This window comes from Homo sapiens, chromosome 9 (genome assembly GCF_000001405.40).
Source record: "Homo sapiens chromosome 9, GRCh38.p14 Primary Assembly".
Classification (NCBI taxonomy): domain Eukaryota; kingdom Metazoa; phylum Chordata; class Mammalia; order Primates; family Hominidae; genus Homo; species Homo sapiens.
This window is the reverse complement of record NC_000009.12, coordinates 116488412-116502737: the sequence shown is the minus strand read 5'-3', so window position 1 is coordinate 116502737 and position 14326 is coordinate 116488412. Positions and strand designations below refer to the sequence as shown.

The following is a 14326-nucleotide window of genomic DNA, read 5'->3' as shown; positions in this document are numbered from 1 at the left end:
TTCATTCCTTCCTTCCTTCCTTCCTTCCTTCCTTCCTTCCTTCCTTCCTTCCTTCTTTCCTTTCTTCCTTCTGTTTTTCTTGTTTGCCTTGGTCTTGGTCTTTCTGACCCCGATTTTCTCTGTTTCTCTCTCTCTCTCCTCACCAACTCCTGTCTATGTCTCTCTATTTCTATCTGTCTTTCTAGGTCTCTGACCTTCTATCCACTTCTCTCTGATTGTCTTTTTTCTGCATTTTTATTTCTGGTTCTCTGTCTTTGGCCCTATGTGTTCTTATCTATGTCTCTCTCTTTCTCTCTCCATTTCTCCTCTGTCTCTCACTGTGGCTCTCAGTTTCTGCTTCAGTCTTTCTGAGTATTTTCTGGCTGTAGTTCTCTCTTGGTCTCTTTCTCTATTTCTCTCTCTCTCTCCTCTCTCTGTGTGTGAGTGTGTGTCTTTGTGTCTGTGTGTTGTGTGTCTCCTCTCTGTGTTTGTTTTTTGTGTGTGTCTCTCTCTGTCTCTCTCTGTGTGTCTCTATGTCTCTCTGCCTCTCTGTCCCTGTCTCTCTGTCTCTCTCTCTCACATACATGCATGCATACACATACACACACACACACACATTTGGAAATCTACCTCTCTCTGCCACCTCCCAGGTCCCACCTCCTTCTCAATGATTCACCTCAGCCTGGTTAAATGGTGTTGCTTGCATGACCAGAAAACCTGACTCATCTTTGCTTGGGCCTTCTCCCCACCCTTCTGGAGGCTTGTTGCCTCCAGGGATGGAGTGGGGAGGGGGATATGCTTTTTGTGTGTGTGTGCAAGTGCGAGTATGGAGGAGAACTGAGTTTGGGGAATGGGATGGGCTCAGGACCTCATTCAATCCCACTGGTGCTGTTTTTTTTTTTTATTATTATACTTTAAGTTTTAGGGTACGCGTGCACAATGTGCAGGTTAGTTACATATGGATACATGTGACGTGCTGGTGCGCTGCACCCACTAACTCATCATCTAGCATTAGGTATATCTCCCAGTGCTATCCCTCCCCCCTGCCCCCACCCCACAACAGTCCCCAGAGTGTGATGTTCCCCTTCCTGTGTCCATGTGTTCTCATTGTTCAATTCCCACCTATGACAACAGGTGCTGGAGAGGATGTGGAGAAATAGGAACACTTTTACACTGTTGGTGGGACTGTAAACTAGTTCAACCATTCTGGAAGTCAGTGTGGCGATTCCTCAGGGATCTAGAACTAGAAATACCATTTGACCCAGCCATCCCATTACTGGGTATATACCCAAAGGACTATAAATCATGCTGCTATAAAGACACATGCACACGTATGTTTATTGCGGCACTATTCACCATAGCAAAGACTTGGAACCAACCCAAATGTCCAACAATGATAGACTGGATTAAGAAAATGTGGCACATATACACCATGGAATACTATGCAGGCATAAAAAAGGATGAGTTCATGTCCTTTGTAGGGACATGGATGAAATTGGAAATCATCATTCTCAGTAAACTATCGCAAGAACAAAAAACCAAACACCCCACTGGTGCTTTTGGGTTCCCAGAGATTGCCTTTGGGGAGTCCTGGTCAGACTTGGGTTTGGAGCTTGGGTTCTTCTCCCACCCTAGGGGAGAAGAAGAAAGACAAATAGTCTCCCTTATCTACTGAAGATATCCCAGCTATTAGTTAATGGCAGGCTTTGAGGTGTATATTTAGAAAAGGGAGGGAAGTTTGGGCATTCAGCTGTTTTTAATCTTGGGACACATAGTTTGTGCAGTTCTGGTTTGGGAGGATCAAAAAGTGCTAAATACATGAGGATAATTCACTTTCCCTAGTTTGTTGAGTTTTTCCTTTCTGCTTACACCACACAAAGTGTTTCATGAATTGGTATTTTTTAAAATAACAGTGATAATAGCAAAGCTGCTGTTTATTATTTACCATACGCAAGGCAATGTGCTAGGTGCTTCCCATACACTATCTAAATTAATTCTTATTTGAGTTCATTGATTCCCTAGAGATAGATATTTTCACATTCATTTTACAGATGTGGAAAATGAGGCTTAAAAAGATGACGTCACTTGCTTAGAATCATTTAGCAAAGCCAGAATTCAAACCCAGGGCTGAGCACAATATTGTCTGTTCTGCTGCTTTTCCCTCTCAAAGGAGATTTGATATCAGCATGTTAGTGAATTGAATTGCCTAACATGTTTGGAGGGACACAGTAAGGGTGGGTTCCTTGTTAGCCACTGCAGGGGGTGGCTGTAAGCCTGTATTAGTCATGGCTCAGCTCACAGCCTGGATGAGAAGACAAGAGCACAAGCTATAGCTACAGCAGCACGGGATCAGGGGTTAGAAATGTGTGATCTGGTTCCAGTACCTCTTCAGCTACCCACATTCCTTTCCGGAGATTCACCTTCCCCTAAATGGAAATTTTCACTTCCATTGTGCTGTGCCCACCTCATCATGCACTTGTGAAGCTTAAATTTAATGAGGTGGTGGAGGCATACATTGTAAACTAAAAAGGGTTTTACAAAAGGAGAGGGCAGTGGAAAGAGAAGAGCAATCCTCACTGCACAGGGATAGTAGAGTCAAAGGGTTAATGGGTAACCAGTGTGGGTGGCTGAGGTGCTGTAGCAAAGGGTGAGGCTGGGCAGAAACTCCAGGGTTCGTCAGGCATCAATAAGCAATCATATCAATTAGGGAGATTTCCTGGGGTGTGGTGTCTGGCAGATAGATAAAGTGATAGAGAAATATAGAGGAAAATAAACAGGAGTTAGGTGGGTTGCAAGACTGAATCAGGTAAAGGCTGGTGGAGAACTTGATGAGCATTCTTTTTATTATGGTCCTGTGCTTTGGTGGATGAGGAGATGAACTTATTCGTACAGAATCTCATAAGAAGGTAGGGGCACTGACCAGTCCCCTGAATCTCTACTCAGTACTCTTTTACATAAGACCCAGTGGCCTCATGGGATTGCTGTTTCCAACACAACTCCAAGGTTGATGCATAATGAGGTCCTAGCATCCCCCCAATCTTCCACCCCATGGGCTTTCTTCCAGCAGGTAAAGGAAGCCATGCTTATTCATTGACTCACTTGTTCTGCATAAGCCTAGGCACTAGGGCTCAGGTGGTGACTAAGACAGGCCAGGTACCTTACCATAATCCTCCCAGTGCATGAGGGGAGGAAGACAACTACATATGTAATTACAGGACAATGAGTTATGGACTATAATAGAGAGGGACACAGGGAGCTGTGGGAACTCAGTTGAGGGGCCCTAAACTTTGCCAGGTGAAGGCAAAGAGTGACCAAGAAGAGCTTTTTGAAAGACATTGGGTATGAGCAAAAACTTAAGGGATGAACATTAGTTGTCCACACGTGTTTACAAAACCTTGACTGAGTCATGAGTACCTCTCCGGCATCATCCCTGCCTTGATTCATTCAATCGACCTTTAATGAATAGCTACTGTGCCCCCCACACTCTGCTAGACACTGGGGAAATCATGAACAACATGGACAAGGCTTCTAAACTCATGAATTAATATTTTAGTAATAAAAAGCAAATAAAGAGGTAAATAAAGTGACAAACACAGTAACTACAAATTATCACTAGTGCTTGGAATAAAATCAAGAGTTCTCTGGTGGGGCATAACTGAGAGTGGGCAGTTTGGATTTGCATTAGTCGGGGTGGTGCAGAGGATTCTAAAGGGATGGAACTTCAGCTGAGATGATGGAACAGAAGCAGCCAGCTCTTTAGAGAACTAGGGAAGAGTTATGGAAGCTCTAATCTCAGGAATACATTTTCCTGCAGCATAGCATCCTCATACCCCAACTTTTTTCTTCGTGTGTGAAGTGAGTTAGTGTATTGGCATTCAAATTCTGCTTTGTTTAAGATGGCTATGTTTCCAGGTTATTAAAGATCCTTCACTATCACATTTTTTGTGCCCTGCTATGTCCTTGGAGCTGAACATTGGCATATGTATCAGAAGTACTGACCTGGCATTTTTATTACCTTACCTGGCACTGTGTGAATTTTCCTTAGCAACATCTACTGACATATACATCATGTTTTGCAGATTATAAATCCTTTAATGGATTTAATGTACTCTTCTTCACTTTCTTGTAGAGTAGATACTGACATCCTCCTTTTTTTTTTTTGAGGTAGGGTCTCACTCTATTGCCCAGGCTGGAGTGCAGTGGCACAGTCACAGCTCACTGCAACCTTGATCTCCTGGGCTTAAGTGATCCTTCCACTTCAGCCTCTCATATAGCTAGGGCTACAGACACATGCCACCACACCTGGCTGTTTTTTGTTTTTTGTTTTTTGTTTTTTTTTAGAGATGGGGTCTTGCTATGCTGTCCAAGCTGATCTTGACCTCCTGGCCTCAAGTGATCCTCCTGCCTTAGCTTCCCCAAGAACTGGGATTACAGGCATGGGACACTCACTGTGCCTGGCCCTGATATCCTTATTTTAGAGACAAGGAGACTGAAGTTCACAGAGACAGAGCAATTAAGAAGTGCCTGTTGTGGTGGAAAAACAACAGGCTTTGGAATTGGATCAACCTGGGTTCAAGTTCTAGCTTTGCTGGGTAGTAGCTGTGTGTTTGGAAGGCTTGCCTTAACTCTCTGAGCCTCTTTTTTCTTCTTCACAAAATAAGAATCATAACTTCAACCCTGCCAGATACTATGCTTTTTCATCACATTTGTGGACAGAGGGGCTCCTAGGGCCCACCGTCAGCAACCTCGTGGTTTTTGCCTTTTTGTACAGAGAGGGAGATGTTGAATGAAGTGTTTGGCCCAGAGAAAGTTGGAAGTATTAGGGGAACTGAGAATCTGATAGGAAGCACATCGTACAGTTGGTTCTTTCCACTTTACAATGATATAACATTTGGGAATGGAATTTTAAAAAGGAAAAAAGTAAAAGAAAACCCTCCATGGATGAGTGCTTCAAAGGCAGTGAACTCACACTGTGGTCCTTAAAGAGTGATTGGGGGGGAGGAGAACTTGGCCTTCCTTCATCCCTCCCCCTTCTCCCCAGCCTGGTCCCCAAATCAGCTTTCCCCACACATGTTAGCAATACCCGCTGCAGCCAAATGCATTAGCATCATTTGTCCTCCAGACAGTGGGGATGACGAGGGCTTTTATGGCTCTAATTAATCCAGCAGTAGAAAAAGGAAGGCTTTATAAGCCAAGTGCATATTAATGTTGAGGTTAATACTATTAAATTCAGTATTAATCATAAGTTGCAGGACTCCTTGGTTGGCTGCACGTAAAAGCAGTCCTTGCCGTTCTCCCTTGCAAAACTGTGAGCATCACAGGGAAGAGGTTTTGTTCCTGTGGGTCAGAGCTGTGACCACAGTTGTAGTCCTTTCCCTGGCGCCTAGAGGGTGTTCGATAACTGCTTGTGAACTCTTTGAACAGTGAGGCTAACAAGTTTGTCCTAGACCTCAAGAAGGAAGACAAGTCAGTTGCTCTTTTTACAAACTCCTTAAAGGCAGAGACTGTATCTTTATAGCAGATGCCTCTGGGGCCATGCCATATCCTCTTGGCCCATGGCTATTTCAGCTGCAGCTGTGGTGAGCAGCTCTGTGCACACTCAGGCTCACTTTGTGCTGCCAGTGACCTCAGATGCACACTTGCACTTTCTGCCCCACAGCCTTATGAGAGATTGAAGGAGCTCCCTAGGCCAGTGTGCAAGTACAACTTTAAAAAAGTGTGGGGAAATAACACTCCTGGGTGAAGGACTTGACATGGTTTGGCTGTGTCCCCAACCAAGTCTCATCTTGAATTATAGTTCCCATAATCCCCATGTGTTATGGGAGGGACCCTGGTGGGAGGTAATTGAATCATGGGGGCAGGTTTTACCTGTGCTGTTCTCATGATAGTGAATAATTCTCAGGAGATCTGATGGTTTTATAAAGGACAGTTCCCCTGCACAAGCTCTCTTGCCTGCCACCACGTAAGACGTGCCTTTGCTCCTCCTTTGCTTTCCACCATGATGTTGAGGCCTCCCCAGCCATGTGGAACTGTGAGTTCATTAAACCTCTTTTTCTTATAAATTACCCAGTCTCAGATATGTCTTTAATTGCAGCATGAGAATAGACTAAAACAGGACCCAACCAATGGGAATCAGGAATTGGTAGATAAGTGCCCCATCTCCCCGACTTCCAGCCAAACAGTTCTGGGGGGTATCTTGTTCCCTCCTTAAAAGGGTCTTGCAGAATTAGGTCCCATCATGTACAGTAGCAAACTTGAAGATATACCTTTATATTGACTTTTTCTCTTCCCTGTCTTACTCTGCCCTTTACCCCATACCTGCTCCCTGGAATCACCTCCCAAATAAACCTTCTGCACCCAAGCCATTGTTCTTAAGCTCTGCTTTCCAGGGAATTCAAACGAAAGTGTTCTTTATGCTTGTGCTCCCAGCCATCAGCTCAGTTTGAAGCACACAACAGATACATTCACTCACTATATAAATATTTATGGAAAACCTACTGTGTACAGACACCATTCTAAGTGAACAAATTCTCTTACTCACAGGGTTTACAGCAGGGGATACAGGCAATATATCAATCCATCAATATATGAGAGACAGTGATAAATTTTGTAAAGATAAATGGGTTAAGAGGGTAAAGGGTGATAGTGGATGCTCCTGTAGACTGAGTGGCCAGAGAAGGCCTTTCTGAGCAAGTGACATTTGAGCAAGGATTTGGGAAAGGAGAGGGAGTAAGCCATACAACGACAAGGGGAAGAAGGCTCCATGGAAACCACAGGTGCAAAAGCCCTGTGGTGGGAGTATGTTTGGCATGTTAGAGGAGGAGGAAGAATGTCTGCATGGCTGGAATGCGTGAGTGAGGAAAGGAGCCCAGGAAGTGAGGAAGAAGGGGCCCGAGGAAGCAGGACACTGGAGATACCCCGTGAATTCTTGTTAATTAGTAGTCTTTGTATCCCTCACCCTAGGCAGCGTTTTATGATAGGAAAGGCTCGGGTTTTGGAGTCTGACAGCTTTGAATCTGAATTCCAGCCTTCTTATTTAGATGGAGTATGACTTTGGACTACTTGATTTAGATCTGTGAGCATTATTTTTTCATTTATAAAATGGCAATCATAAAACATACCTCATAGGATTTGTATTTGAGAGGACTCCTGATTGCAAGGAACAGAAAACAAATGGAAAGTTGCAAAAATGCAAAAATACTAACTCATGTATCTGAAATACCCAAGGGTAGATCTAGGCCTCAGACACAACTGGGTCCAGGGCTTCAAATAATGTCATCAGAACTTGGTTGGTGTCTGTACCTGGAGTTAGTCTGATTGATTAAGCCTAGGTCACTTGTCTTTTTGACCTTTGACATGAAATGGCTGGCCATCGATCACATGCCAGTCTCTGAAGGATAAAAGGGGCCTTAGCTCTACCTAAATTGTTTAGACTGAGATTGGGGGAGAGCTGGTTCCCCAAAGGAAAACTCAGGTGCTGTTGGTAGAAAGAGGCATGCCTTTATAGCCAGTCAAACCAACAGGTGTCCACTAGAGGGCAGGCATGAGGATGAGCCTGAAGTCTCAGCACGATGCCTGGCACACAGAAACTCTCAGTAGGTATTTGCTAGATCACTATTCCCTTTTTTTGGAGCCCTTATCTTTACGTCATTTCCTCCTTTCCTGTATTATTTGTGTCCTATTTACTCCTGAAAGGTTATGCAGGAGGCAGCCTGGCTATCCCAAGAGAGAGTTCTAATGCCAGGTGCTGATGTCGAGTAAATAGGAGCAGATCCAGGCTTCAACCACTGAAGTTCAGTTTCACAGGCTTCAGTAAATAGCTTCATCATCAGCCCTATGCTGGACACCAGTAACACAAGGGTGACTGAAACAGAATTCCCACCCCAGGCATCTCGCAGTCTGGAGGGAAATGTGCAGTAGGAAAGGCACAGACTTTGGGTGCTGAATGTCCTGACTTCAGCCTTTACTCTGACATTCCTAGGTAGATTTTTGTGAGAAAGTTATTTACAGATGAAACTGTTTCCTCATCTGCAAAAGCACAATTCACTGAATTCATTAGGTTTTATCGAATTTTAAGCAAGATGGATTGTTTTGAATATTTAACCAAGACAATATAAGTAAAAATGTCTAGCGTTGTTGATGCCATGTAATAAAAGCCAAATAACATTTTTATTTCCCTCTTTTTGCTTCCTTTCTTTCTTTGTTTCTTATTTCATTCCTTCCTTCCATTCAAAATGTCTTCTTTTTGCAAAAAAACAGGAAGGTTTTAGGGAGTTAGATATGATGTAATGCACCTAAAAGCAACTGAGCGTGATAACTAAAAATTTTGCCATCAGACAAATTATTCAGACCTGAGGGAGCAGGGGTGAGGGGGGCACTAACATTTGTAAGCTATTCATGTATCAGACATATTATAAATATTCTCTTACTCAATCCTCACCTGACTCTCTGAAATTGATAGGATCATCTTTTCAGATGAAGAAGCAGTCTCTGAGAGTTTAATCATCCATCTCTACATAATATAGTTCATAAGTGGTAGGTCTGGCTTCAAAACTAGGTGTCATCTGCTCCCCAAAACCCACTCTCTTTCTACTACCTCCTACTGCCATTACAATAAAGGTGAGGATCTCTACACACTGCTTCTTCAGATTTAAAATAACACCATGTTTCAGAAGAAACAAACCAACTGCAGCTGATAGGTATGAGGCCCTTAAAGATGCATTTTGTCCCTGACAAGTTCTCATAATGAATTTCTACAGTTGCCCAAGTAAAGGAAATGCAGAGAGAGCTCTGCTTCTCCCTGGGCACCATGACAAAGAGCATCTGCAGGTTAGAGAGGCCAGGCCCAGAGTGACGACTCCTAAATCCTCTTGGTGTTTCCCGAAAAGAGTGTGGAGCCCTGAGCTGGGGACCTTTCTCCTCACCTGGGCTAAAAAACTTGCCGTCCCCACCCCCACATCCCCCCACTCCCACTGCTCCTTCCATTCTGGAATTTCTTTTCTGCTTTTCTCCCAACCTGTTTTCAATTTGCTCATGTGGCCGGCTTTGACGGTGACCTCAACTCATTCAGAAGCAAGAGGGTGAGGGGAGAAAGAGAGAGAGAGGGGAAACAAGGAGGAGGATTGAGGGACTGCTGAAAGGAGAGGGAGAGGGAATTGAGGAATAGGGGGTGGGGCCTCTAGAAAAATTGATCCATGCTTTGTTGGGTTGATTCTGAAGCTGCAGCAGAATCATGATTAACATTTTCTGTGGAAGGTAATGAGAGCAAGGCTAGAGTCTGAGTGGATAAAGAAATGTGTGGGGGTCTGGCCCCAGCCCACTCGGGTTACAGCCCCAGAAGAGCTGTAATGGGGAACAGGCACATTCCTGTACAGCGACTCCCAACTCCCTATCTGTTTTCAAGGAAAGAAAAACAGGAAAAGAATGTTAGAGACTTGGACGAACTTGGGCGAGGCAGAAGCAGCAGCCTGGGTTCTAGGAGGGTTCTACCATAAGCCCCTAACAAGGTACCAGGGAGGACGGAGCAGAGGCCTCCCAGGTAGAGTGGCCTAGTGAAAGGTGCATGGGGCTCAGATGCAAGACAGTGGGGCTTGATTCTGGATTCTGCCCCTGAGTAGCTGCAAATCCTTGAATTAAGGTGTAGCATTCCCAAGCCTCTGTATTTCTATCAGAGAATACAGCACAGTTCTGGAATTCAAACACTTTAAGCAATAAAACTTTAAAACCAACTTTTATAAACAGTTTTGTAAAAAACTAAATAAAAACATGGACCGCTAGTATATAAAATAGATCAAACTAGAGTTGATCTAGTTGAAGGTTAGTGTGAGTATATGGAAGACTGGCCCCAATCTCTCTCCTGTTAGTGTTCATCCTTGCCCCTGGAGTTCTCTATGTTATAATCTGCAAACCACTGTTAAAATATATGACATATTAGAAATGTACTAAACTCCTATCTCTTGGAGACTTTGTGTCTTTCTCAGAAATTCCAGGCTTAAGAAGATGGCAAGGTGGAACCATGTACCTAGCACAGTGTCTGGTGCGTAGTAATTGCCCAGGGACTGTATATCACATTCATGTTGAATAAAGTGGTCAGAAATTGGGGAGGAAGGGCTCCTGTGTTAGCTTTGAGAGATTTTAAATTCTCAGTGATTTTATCTCATAAGTTGGCTGGTACAAGTTATCTCCGAGACTCCAGGAGTCAAGGCACCAAGTTTTTGTTCCAAATCTCCTCCTGTTGAGTGTATGGGCATGGACCTGTCACTGTCCTTCTCTGATCTTCAGTTTTGTCACCTGTAAAAAGAGAAGCTTGGATGAAAAGATATCTTTAAGAGTCCTTATCTCTACTCTGTTATGTTGAAAACAAGAATAAGAAAAACAAGGCTCTCACAGTGGCTCATGCCTGTAATCCCAGCACTTTGGGAGGCTGAAGCAGGCAGATCACCTGAGGTCAGGAGTTCAAGACCAGAATGGCCAACATGGTGAAACCCTGTCTCTACTAAAAATACAAAAATTAGCCAGGCATGGTGGTGGGCACCTATAATCCCAGCTACTCGGGAGGCTGAGGCAGGAGAGTTGCTTGAACCCGGGAGGTGGAAGTTGCAGTGAGCTGAGATCATGCCACTGCACTCCAGCCTGGGCAATAGAGAAAGACTTTTTCTCAAAAAAAAAAAAAAGAGAGAAAAACAAAAACAGTAGTAGTTGATACACATTTTAAGCTCTTACTGTGTTCCAGTATACAGTATTTTATATGATGTTTGCAACTGTCTAAGTTAGATACTATTATTCTCCTCATTTTACATATAAGAATATAGATGTACAGAGTTAAGGAGCTTGTCCAAGACAAGCAGTAAGTGGAGTACTAGGATTTAATCTTAGGCAGAGTAAACTTAAAAGCCCAGGCTCCTAACCACTGCTCTGTATATTATTGCTCATTCAATTGTATGGTTGCCAGATGCAGAGTATGTTATATTGTGGAACTAAAATACATGTGTTGAATTGCATTGATTTTCATTTGTGCATAGAGAAGCCCCCATGCCTTTCTTAGTACCCCCTCCACTGGGTGAGGAAGAACACTGGGGGATTACTTCATTCACCTGTCTTCATCTAAATTGCATTTAAACCTTCTGAAATCCAGTGCCAAAAAAAGCTATCTTACAGTTTACTTTATAGGTTTGTTCTTGTATTTAACAACCCTTCCTGTTGTCAGATTACAAGCTGTAGAAGGTCAGGGACCATTTCTTTTATTGTCTCATTCCTCAAGCTAAGAGTGTGGCGGGAATTCAATTGCAAATTGAATAGCATTGAGAAACCTCCCTTTCTAATACTATCATTTTCAAACTTTCTCTAGGAGGCAGCATAGTATAAAAGAAAAGGTATGTCTTTGGAACTGAAAAAATAGGGGTTCTAATCTCAGCTATCTTCCTTTTTAACTGCAACATTAACCTCAGCTTTACCATGGGGAAGATAAAATCTAACTTGTTAGATTGCTGTGAGGATTAAATGGAAAAAAGAAAAATAAGTACTAGATGTCAGTTGCCTTCCTTTTAACTTTCTCATTTGAAGATGATTATATTCATACAGTTGTGAATAGAACTGGGCACTAAATATCCTTATAATGATCTTGGTATGACTAGTTATACTGCATATACTGCAGGTGAGCCAGTTCCTTCACTTGAATTAAACCTGCAAACCTTAGAATTTTTCAGAACATAGAATCATGCCAGTCTTACTGACCTGACATGTTTATGGGGCTTGTATCCATGGTCCCAATTATTCTGAAATTCATGGAACTATCTGGAAAGCTATTCCCATTTGAAAATGAATATCAGCCATCTTTTCATCTCAAGACAGGTAATTAACACAGGCCACAAACATACTGAGTTCCTTCATTGATATGGTTTGGCTGTACCCTCACCCAAATCTCATCTTGAATTGTAGTTCCCATAATCCCCATGTGTCCTGGGAGGGACCTCGAGGGAGTTGATTAGATTATGGGGGTGGTTACCCCATGCTGTTCTCGTGATAGTAAGTGAGCTCTCATGAGATCTGATGATTTTATAAGGGGCTATTTCCCCCTTCCCTGGGCACTCATTCTCTCTCCTGCCACCCTGTGAAGAGGTGCCTTCCGCCATGATTGTAAGTTTCCTGAGGCCCCTCTAGCCATGCAGAACCATGAGTCAATTAAATCCCTTTTCTTTATGAGTTACCCAGTCTCAAGTATTTCTTCATAGCAATGTGATAATGACTAATACACTCATGAAGATCCAGCTCTCTCATTGGCTATCTGGAAACAAATTGAAAAGCAGACAGACATGGACCCAAGCTCAAAGAAAACAAACACATGTAGCCAGACTTGGAATCCTGAGTACCCAAGTGAAATAAGACCCTCACTCCATCTAGTGAATAATCTCATGTCTTTTCTCTCCCCTACCCTCACCCTCACCACCAATGCCCCCTTTTTTTTTTTTTTTTTTTTTTTTTTTTTTTACTTTTTATCACATACATTGCTCTGGAATTTGTGATATTTTTTGAAATGGACATATTGTTAGTTTCTGGTTGTACTATGAAAGAAACTGATATAAGAGGCCTACAGAAGAAATGTGGGATGCCAAAATTATGCTGAATAAAAGATTCATTCACATCTTCATTTTCCAGACAAACCTCTGGTTCTAGGCATCTTTGTTTCTTTCTAGACCCTTGGCTTTACTCTGTAGACTCCAAATGCATGAGAGTGCTGTTAACTCCTTGTAACAAAAAGAAAAATGGAGACATTGAGAAGTTTAAGGACTTGCAGCCCATGGTGGAATTAGTACTCAGTCTCAGGTCTGTCTTGCAGTGGCAGCTGAAATTGCCTGTTGCCAACACTACCCTGATTTAGACACTTGATCCTAAATCTAGCATCTACGCGTCAAGTCTATGAACCATGTATTGTCTTCGTGAAAAATAGAAACCAAGAAACAGTACCCATCAAGACCTGCTCTATTGGACTAAAGGAGCAAATACCTTCTAGAACTGTTGTTCGGCTGAATCCCAGGGCCATCTGGCCAATTCAGTCAGATAAGTCTTGCAAGATTCACTTGTGAGACGAAGAATGAAACTCTTCTTTTTAAAACTGTTTTTCTTTAAGAATGAAACTTTTGGGCCAGGCACAGTGACTCATGCCTATAATCTCAGCACTTTGGGAGGCCAAGGCTCAGTAGTTTGAGACCAGCCTGAGCAACAGGGTAAGACCCCATCTCTACAAAGAATACAAAAGTCAGCTGGGTGTGGTGGTGCATGCCTGTAGTACCAGCTATTTGGGAAGCTGAGGTGGGAGGACCTCTTGAGCCTGCGGGGCAGAGGCTTCAATGAGCTGAGGTTGCACCACTGCACTCCAGACTTGGCAACAGAATGAGACCCTGTCTCAAAAAAATTAAAATTAAAATTAAAAAATAAATAAATAAATAAAATAAAGAATGAAACTTTTCTTTGAAAGACCAACAGGAAGTGATCTGTATATTCTGCTCAACCAGTTCCTTGGTAGAGAAGCACCACCAAGCTGCTCTGAGTCCTAATCTTCTGAAACACGAGCCAACACTATTGTTCTTTTATGGTTTCATGACATTGTCTTGTTCTTAACCCCAGGTAGAGAGGATGTAATGGAGCTGGCACCCTTTTCTGGTTTATTAGTGGGGCTGTACATGAATAGAGCTCTGAGGAACTCTCTATCAGGCATGAAGAAAAGAAGAAAACAACAGTTGAGAGGCCTCATATCATTTTATACTGTGCGGTATAAAAATACCTCATATGTCAGTTTTTTTCCTAGATCATCCAATTTTAGAATTAGAGGGGAACTTAGAGGCCATTTAGTCTGGCCCATTTACTTTATCTATTTTTAAGTAATTTTTATTGATATTTTTATGGGTTACAAAAGCAATATATGTTTATTGAAGATAATTTTTAAAATAGAGATAAGCAAAAATAAGATAGAAAAAGTGCCCATTATGTCACTCTCCAGACAGTCCACCTTAAACATTTGTTTTTATTTTCTTCCTTCTGTTTTTAAATGCATGTGCATATAAAATTTCTACAAAAATGAGATTATTTTGTAATAGTGTAACCTGTTTTTAACTTCACATTATGTCATAAATATCCTTTCATATTCTTTCACAGATTATTTTTAATGACTATAAAATAGCCTATTGCATCATTGAACTCAATTGATATAGCCATTTCTATGTAGTTGGACATTTAGCTGTTTCTACATTCTTGCTAGTATAAATAGTACTGCGATGTTTATCCTTATAACTTAATTTTTGTTCATATCTGTATTTTTATTTTATTTTTTTCAAGAATCCTAACAATGATT

General features: G+C 42.3%; 1 protein-coding gene across 7 annotated transcripts in view; it reads left to right on the top strand.

Moving 5' to 3' along the window:
* The window catches only part of ASTN2 (astrotactin 2), a 991946-nt gene that overhangs the window by 912320 nt on the left and 65300 nt on the right, over positions 1-14326 (top strand). The window lies entirely within an intron of this gene.